The sequence below is a fragment of the Homo sapiens genome, chromosome 13 (assembly GCF_000001405.40).
Source record: "Homo sapiens chromosome 13, GRCh38.p14 Primary Assembly".
Classification (NCBI taxonomy): domain Eukaryota; kingdom Metazoa; phylum Chordata; class Mammalia; order Primates; family Hominidae; genus Homo; species Homo sapiens.
In genome coordinates, this window is record NC_000013.11 from 72,061,716 (window position 1) to 72,071,154 (window position 9,439).

The 9,439-nt window shown below is 39.0% G+C and overlaps 1 annotated feature.

Annotated features, from left to right (window-relative positions):
* Positions 834-1,375: an enhancer, noted in NCBI's record as "OCT4-NANOG-H3K27ac-H3K4me1 hESC enhancer chr13:72636687-72637228 (GRCh37/hg19 assembly coordinates)". NCBI's record gives its function as "activates a minimal SCP1, AML or CMV promoter by ChIP-STARR-seq in naive H9 embryonic stem cells {active_cell/tissue: H9 hESC(naive)}" and the evidence as "EXISTENCE:reporter gene assay evidence [ECO:0000049][PMID:30033119]".

The following is a 9,439-nucleotide window of genomic DNA, read 5'->3' on the forward strand; positions in this document are numbered from 1 at the left end:
CCAGATATATAAAGCAAATGTTGTTAGAACTAAAGAGAGAGATAGACCCCAGTACAATTATAGCTGGATACTTCAACACCCCACTTTCAGCACTGGACAGATCTTCCAGACAGAAAATCAACGAAAAAAGTCAGACTTAATCTGCACTATAGATCAAACGGATCTAAAGATATTTACAGAATATTTCATCCAAGGCCCATAGAGTACACATTCTCCTCAGCATATGGATCATTCTCAAGGATATACCATATGTTAGGTCACAAAGTAAGTCTTTAAACATTCAAAGAAAATTGAAATAATATAAAGCATCTTCTCTGACCACAGTAGTATAAAATGACTAATAAATAACAAGAGGAATTTGGAAACTGTAAAAACATATGGAACTTAAATAACATGTGGGCATTTGCTGGCAAGATGGCCAAATAAGAGCAGCTCTGGTCTGCAGCTCCCAGCAAGATCCATGCAGAAGGCGAGTGATTTCTGCATTTCCAACTGAGGTACCCAGTTCATCTTACTGGGACTGGTTGGACAGTGGGTGAAGCCCACGGAAGGTGAGCCGAAGCAGGGTGGGGCATCACATCACCTGCAAAGCACAAGGTTTTGGGGAATTCTCTCCCCTACCCAAGGGAAGCCGTGAGGGACTGTGCCATGAGGAATGGTGCACTCTGGCCCAGATACTGCTCTTTTCCTATGATCTTTGCAACCTGCAGACCAGGAGATTCCCTCCGGTGCCTATGCCACCAGGGCCCTGGATTTCAAGCCAAAAACTGGGCAGCTGTTTGGGCAGAGACTGAGATAGCTGCAGGAGTTTTTTTTCTTCCATACCTCAGTGGCACCTGGAATGCCCATGAGACAGAACCATTCACTCCCCTGGAAAGGGGCCTGAAGCCAGGGAGCCAAGTGGTCTGGCGTGGTGGGTCCCACCCCAAGGAGCCCAGCAAGTTAAGATCCACTAGCTTGAAATTGTCGCTGCCAGCACAGCAGTCTGAGGTCGACCTGGGATGCCTGAGCATGGTCGGGGAAGGGCGTTTCCTATTGTTGAGGCTTGAGTAAGCTGTTTTACCCTCACAATGTAAACAAAGCTGGCAGGAAGTTCAAACTGGGTGGAGCCCTCCACAGCTCAGCAAGGCCATTGTGGTCAGACAATGGGCACAGCTTCAGCAGACTTAAATGTCCCTGCCTGACAGCTCTGAAGAGAGCAGTGGATCTCCCAGCACACCGTTCGAGCTCTGCTAAGGGTCAGACTGCCTCCTCAAGTGGGTCCCTAACCCCCGTGTATCCTGACTGGGAGACGCCTCCCAGTAGGGGCCAACAAACACCTCATGCAGTAGAGCTCTGGCTGGCATTCTGGGACAAAGGTTCCAGAGGAAGTAACAGACAGCAATATTTGCTGTTCTTCAGCCTCCACTGGTGATACAGGGACAAACAGGGTCCACGGTGGACGTCCAGCAAATGCCAGCAGACCTGCATCAGAGGGGCCTGACTGTTAGAAGGAAAACTAACAAACAGAAAGGGATAGCATCAACATTAACAAAAAGGATGTCCACCCAGAGACCCCATCCAAAGGTCACCAACATCAAAGACCAAAGGCAGATAAATCCATGAAGATGGGAAGAAACCAGTGCAAAGAGGCTGAAAATTCCAAAAACCAGAATGCATCTTCTCCTCCAAAGGATCACAATTCCTCGCCAGCAAGAGAACAAACCTGGATGGAGAATGAGTTTGATGAATTGACAGAAGTAGGCTTCAGAAGGTGGGTAATAACAAACTCCTCTGAGCCATAATGCAAGGAAGCTAAGAACTTTGAATAAAGGTTAGACAAATTGTTAACTAGAATAACAGCATAGAGAAGAACATAAATGACCTGATGGAGCTGAAAAACACAGCATGAGAATGTCATGAAGCATACGCAAGTATCAATAGCCAAATCAATCAAGCAGAAGAAAGGATATCAGAGATTGAAGATCAATGTAATGAAAGAAAGTGTGAAGACAAGATTAGAGAAAAAAGAATAAAAAGAAATGAACAAAGCCTCCAAGAAATATGGGAGAATGTGAAAAGACCAAACCTACATTTGATTGGTGTACCTGAAAGTGACAGGGATAATGGAACAAAGTTGGAAAACACTCTTCAGGATATTATCCAGGAGATCTTCCTCAACCTTTCAAGACAGGCCAACATTCAAATTCAGGAAATACAGAGAATACCACAAAGATACTCCTCAAGAAGAGCAGCCCCAAGACACATAATCATCAGATTCACCAATGTTGAAATGAAGGAAAAAATGTTAAGGGCAGCCAGAGAAAGTTGGGTTACCCACAAAGGGAAGCCCATCAGACTAACAGTGGATCTCTCTGCAGAAACCTTACAAGCCAGAAGAGAGTGGGGGCCAATATTCAACATTCTTAAAGAAAATAATTTTCAACCCAGAATTTCATGTCCAGCCAAACTAAGTTTCATAAGCAAAGGAGAAATAAAATCCTTTTACAGACAAGCAAATGCTGAGAGATTTTGTCACCACCAGGCCTGCCCTACAAGGCTCCTGAAAGAAGCACTAAACATGGAAAGGAACAACCAGTACCAGCCACTGCAAAAAAACATACCAAATTGTAAAGACCATTGACACTATGAAGAAACTGCATCAATTAATGGGCAAAATAACCAGCTAGCATCATAATGACAGGATCGAATTCACACATAACAATATTAGCCTTAAATGTAAATTAGCCTAATGACCCAGTTGAAAGACACAGACTGGCAAATTAAATAGAGTGAAGCTCCATTGGTGTGCTGTATTCAGGAGACCAATCTCACGTGCAAAGACACACATAGGCTCAAAATAAAGGGATGAAGGAAATTTACCAAGCAAATGGAAAGCAAAGAAAAGAAAAAAGCAGGGGTTGCAATCTTACTCTCTGATAAAACAGACTTTAAACGAACAAATATCAACAGAGACAAAAAAGGGCATTACATAATGGTAAAGGGATCAATTCAACAAGAAGAGCTAACTGTCCTAAATACATACGTACTCAATACAGAAGCACTCAGATTCATAAAGAAAGCTCTTGGAGACCTACAAAAAGATTTAGACTCCCACACAATAATAGTGGGATACTTTAACACCCCACTGTCAATATTAGACAGATCAATGAGACAGAAAATTAACAAGAATGTTCAGGACTTGAACTCAGCTCTGGACTAAGAGGACCTAATAGATATCTACAGAACTGTCCACCCCAAATCAACAGAATATACATTCTTCTCAGTACCTCACAGCACTTATTCTAAAATTGACCACATAATTGGAAGCAAAACACCTCTCAGCAAATGCAAAAGAACAGAAATCATAACAAACAGTCTCTCAGACCACAGTGCAATCAAATTAGAACACAGAATTAAGAAACTCACTCAAAACCTCACAACTACATGATAACTGAACAACCTACTCCTGAATGACTACTGGGTAGATAACGAAATGAAGGCAGAAATAAAGATGTTCTTTGAAACCAATGAGAACAAAGACAAAACGTACCAGAATCTCTGGGACACATTTAAAGCAGTGTTTAGAGGGAAATTTATAGCACTAAATGCCCACAAGAGAAAGCAGGAAAGATCTAAAATTGACACCCTAACATTAAAATTAAAAGAACTACAGAAGCAAGAGCAAACAAATTCAAAAGCTAGCAGAAGACAAGAAATAACTAAGATCAGAGCAGAACTGAAGGAGATAGAGACACGAAAAACCCTTCAAAAAATCAATGAATCCAGGAGCTGGTTTTTTGAACAGATCAACAAAATCAATTGACAGCTAGCCAGATTAATAAAGAAGAAAAGAGAGAAAAATCAAATAGACACAATAAAAAATGATGAAGGGGATATCACCACTGATCCCACAGAAATACGAACTACCATCAGAGAATACCATAAACACCTCTGTGCAAATAAACTAGAAAATCTAGAAGAAATAAACCAGGAAGAAGTGGAATCCCTGAATAGACCAATAACAAGTTCTGAAATTGAGGCAGTAATTAATAGCCTACCAACCAAAAAAAGTCCAGAACCAGACAAATTCACAGTTGAATTCTACCAGAGGTACAAAGAGGAGCTGGTCCCATTCTTTCTGAAACCATTCCAAACAATAGAAACAGAGGGAATCCTCCCTAACTCATTTTATGAGGCCAGCATCATCCTGATACCAAAACCTGTGCAGAGACACAATGAAAAAAGAAGATTTCAGGCCAATATCCCTGAAGAACATCGATGCAAAAATCCTCAATAAAATACTGGCAAAGCAAATCCAGCAGCACATCAAAAAGCTTATCCACCATGATCAAGTTGGCTTCATACTTGAAATACAAGGCTGGTTTCACATATGCAAATCAATAAACGTAATCCATCACATAAACAGAACCAATGACAAAAACCACATGATTATCTCAATAGATACAGAAAAGTCCTTCGACAAAATACAACACCGCTCACTTCATGCTAAAAACTCTCAATAAACTAGGTATCGATGGAACGTATATCAAAATAATAAGAGCCATTTATGGCAAACTCACAGCCAGTACCATCCTGAATGGGCAAAAACTGGAAGCAATCCCTTTGAAAACCAGCACAAGACAAGGATGCCCTCTCTCACCACTCCTATTCAACATAGTATTGGAAGTTCTGACCAGGACAATCAGGCAAGAGAAAGCAATAAAGGGTATTCAAATACGAAGAGAGGAAATCAAATTGTCTCTGTTTGCAGATGACATGATTATATATTTACAAAACCCCATCGTCTCAGCCCCAAATTTCCTTAAGCTGATAAATAACTTCATCGGAGTCTCAGGATACAAAATCATGTGCAAAAATCACAAGCATTCCTATACACCAATAACAGACAAACAGAGAGCCAAATTATGAGTGAACTTCCATTCACAATTGCTACAAAGAGAATAAAATACCTATGAATACAACTTACAAGGGATGTGAAGGACCTCTTCAAGGAGAACTACAAACCACTGCTCAAGGAAGTAAGAGGGGACACAAATACATGAAAAAAACATTCCATGGTCATGGATAGGAAGAATCCATATCATGAAAATGGCCATACTGCCCAAAGTAATTTATAGATTCAATGCTATCCCCATCAAGCTACCATTGACTTTCTTCACAGAATTAGAAAAAACTACTTTAAATTTCATATGGAACCAAAAAAGATCCTGCATAACCAAGACAATCCTAAGCAAAAAGAACAAAGCTGGAGGCATCACACTACCTGACTTCAAACTATACCACAAGAGTACAGTAACAAAAACAGCATGGCACTGGTACCAAAACACAAATAGAGACAAATGGAACAGAACAGAGGCCTCAGAAATAACAACACTCATCTACCACCATCTGATCTTTGACAAATGGGACAAAAACAAGCAATGGGGACACGATTCCCTATTTAATAAATAGTGTTGGGAAAACTGGCTAGCCATGTGCAGAAAACTGAAACTGGATCCCTTCCTTACACCTTATACAAAAATTAACCCAAGGTGGATTAAAGACTTAAACATAAGACCTAAAGCCATATAAACCCTAGAAGAATACCTAGGCAATACCATTCAGGGCATAGGCATGGGCAAAGACTTCATGACTAAAACATCAAAAGCAATGGCAACAAAAGCCAAAATTGACAAATGGGATCTAATTAAACTAAAGAGCTTCTGCACAGCAAAAGAAACTATCATCAGAGTCAACAGGCAACAAACAGAATAGGAGAAAATTTTTGCAATCTATCCATCTGACAAAGGGCTAATATCCAGAATCTACAAATTTACCAGAAAAAAAAAAAAAACCCATCCAAAAGTGGGCAAAGGATGTGAACAGAGGCTTCTCCAAAGAAGACATTTATGTGACCAACAAACATATGAGAAAAAGCTCATCATCACTGCTCATTAGAGAAATGCAGATCAAAACCACAATGAGACACCATCTCATGCCAGTTAAAATGGCAATCATTAAAAAGTCAGGAAACAGCAGATGTTGGAGAGGATGTGGAGAAATAGGAATGCTTTTACACTGTTGGCGGGAGTGTAAATTAGTTCAATCATTGTGGAAGACAGTGTGCTTATCCCTCAAGGATCTAGAACCAGAAATACCATTTGACCCAGCAATCCCATTATTGGATTTACAAACGATTATTACAAAGGATTATAAATCATTCTACTATAAAGACACATGCACACGTATGTTTACTGCAGCACTATTCACAATAACAAAGACTTGGAACAAACTCAAATGCCCATCAACGATAGACTGGATTAAGAAAATATGGCACATATATACCGTGGAATACTATGCAGCCACAAAAAAGGATGAGTTCATGTCTTTTCCTGGGACATGGAAGAAGCTGGAAACCATCATTCTCAGGAAACTAACACAGGGACAGAAAACCAAACACCGCATGGTCTCACTTAGAAGTGGGAGTTGAACAATGAGAACACATAGACACAAGGAAGGGAACATCACACACCAGGGCCTGTTGGGGGTTGGGGACTAGTGGAAGGATAGCATTAGGAGAAATACCTAATGTAGATGACGGGTTGATGGGTGCAGCAAACCACTGTGGCACATGTATACCTATGTAACAAACCTGCACGTTCTGCACACGTACTCCAGAACTTAAAGGATAATAATTTTTTAAAAAACAATTATTTTAAAAATTATATTTGGGAGGCCAAGGCAGACAGATCATGAGGTCAGGAGATCGAGACCATCCTGGTTAACATGGTGAAACCCCATCTCTACTAAAAATACAAAAAAAAAAAAAATTAGCTGGGAGTGGTGGTGGGTACCTGTAGTCCCAGCTACTCTGGAGGCTGAGGCAGGAGAATGGTGTGAACCCAGGAGGCGGAGCTTGCAGTGAGCAGAGATTGCACCACTGCATTCCAGCCTGGGCCACAGAGTAAGACTCCGTCTCAAAAAAAAAAAGAAAATTAGAAAGCAGTATGGAAAACCTATGTATTAATGCCATCATTATTTTCTGTCTTCTACCTACATCCTAGTATAGGCTAAACCATAGTCTGAATATTCAATTTGTTGAATGACCGAGCAACTGTGCAATTAAGATTATTTTTAGAATTTTAGTATTAAGCAATGACTTTTTTGACAATTTTCTTGTATATCACTTCAAAAGGCAAGACAAATTTTCATTGCACTAAATTGAACTCACAGCTCTCAATCCTCCACTATTCCCTCAAATCTATCATGCTGCATTTGATTGTATTTTAATGCAAATATGCCACTTCATCTACAGGATAAAAGTCAAATTAGAGAACAATTCAGACACATCAGAGTGTAAACTTCCCTTAGTAAATGAGTTAAAGTTGTATTTGTTTTGATATATAAAGCTAAGTGATTTGATGTTAAGAAAGTTGCCCTAATGACAGCAATTATGGATAGCCATCATTTGACAGTAAATCCTCCACATGGTATTCTCATATTCTTGGGGCCAAATTCTTCCTTAATTACACACCCATTTTCATGAGAGCCAGGCTGCAGCCAGCCAGAGGTATAGGGGCTTAGTACAAGGGGAACTGTTTTATTATCTTCATTATTTCAGTTACTAAATAATATAAAGTGAAGAAAATGTATATAATTTTCTTGTCCCCAAATTTAGCATAATATATTAAAAACCCCATCAAATAGAAAGCAAGAAAATGGCATCCCAGGGTCACAGCAGATTATTTTTTCCAAACTTTCTTAATATTATGATATTTCTTTACAATTAGAAGTTATAATGAAAAGAAGATGTAATTATCTCACCTCTTTTCCCTGTTTAATCAGGCTCTTGTCTTTGCTATCTTTCAAACCACACCAGCCTAGGATTTTCCATCAAAATTCTCGTTTCTCCTTTCTTTTCCCATATGTTCAGCAATCAACTATTGTTCAGGTTGTCTAAGTTGCACTTAAAGATTACATAATTGTCCTTCTTACTGAAATGTCTGTTAAGCAGATTTCACACAGACTACCCAGGAAGGGAGAGGTGCACCTACATATTTTTTCCACTTATTTTACTCACTTTGAAGTTTTTCCATGTCTAAAGTTATAGGGATAAAACTAAGGCAGTAATACACTAAATTCTTCTAATCTATAGTGAGAGATTTAATTCATCTTCTGAAAATGCTCAACTTGCTTCCAGACAGTAATTTTTATTCTCATAGTAGCTAATTTTTCTTTTTAAAAGAGACTTGTAGAAAGAAATAAAAATAAAAAGATGCCTGTCTGGATCTACTTTATTTAAATAAATTAAGTTTTTTGTTCAACATTTAATACAGGAGTATAGTATAGTATGAATTCATTAACTCACTAGGGCTTTTTATATTATATATACTGTTAGTCACTTTTTTCTGATCTCTTTTTAATTTTTTAAAAATATTGCTACTATATTTTTTCTTGTTTGCCTTCTTTGATTTTGCATGAACTTCTATTCAGCCTAAACTTGAGCCCTTTTCAAACCTACATCTCTTCATTCTGCCCTAGTTTTCAATATAATTTTTGACACAATATTCCATAATTTGTTTTTATAATTTTTATGTTTCCACACTTATCTCTCCTGGCTTCCTTAGTAGGTCCCCAATGTTCCAAAAATTAATCATTTATACCAGTGTATTTTAGCTGAATTATCTCTTTCATGCAGTTCTTTTAATAAGATTTTATAATTGTTGTCCATGCTGTTAATTAAGCAGATATCTGGAAGAGTGGTTTTGAACTTTAAGCTGACTCAAATATGTAATATTCTTGACCAAAAATTTGGTAGGGTATCAATCAGGATTCAACTAGAGAAGCAGAACTAGCAAGAGATAGAATAAATAGGTAAATGTATTACAAGGAATTGTCCTACAAAAATGTAGTAGGAGACCGGCTAAGCAAGCCCTAAATTCTGTAGGCAAGCAGGCAGGAAGGTAAGATCACGGGCAGGGTAGAACCTCACAAACTGAAGCTTGAAGTCCTCAGGCAGGTACTCAAGAAGGGACATTTACCAGCAAGGGGATCCCAGGACCATCAGCTGGAGCTTGGAGTCCAGATTCAGGAAAGCTCTAGCCCTCTTTCAAAGGGCTTCACTTTATTTGAATATTGGGGGCTGGTAATAAGGAAGCCATGAGAGATGGGATAAATGTAGGAAAATAAAAATCAAAAAATGAAATATGGATACCTAAAATTCTAATGAGAGAAAGGCAGAATGAACTGATAAGATTCAGACAGGCCCATCCTTTGGATTAATTGAAGGCAACTGATTAGGAGTTTTAAATTACACCTGGAAAATCCCCTCGTAGAATGGCTTCTACCTCCCTTCTATCCTCCAGCTCTTCTGAGAGAATCTCTCTCTTAGTCCATACTACCTGGAAACACACCAGGAAGGTAACTCTGAGGACTATAGTTTAGCCTAGCCAAGTGG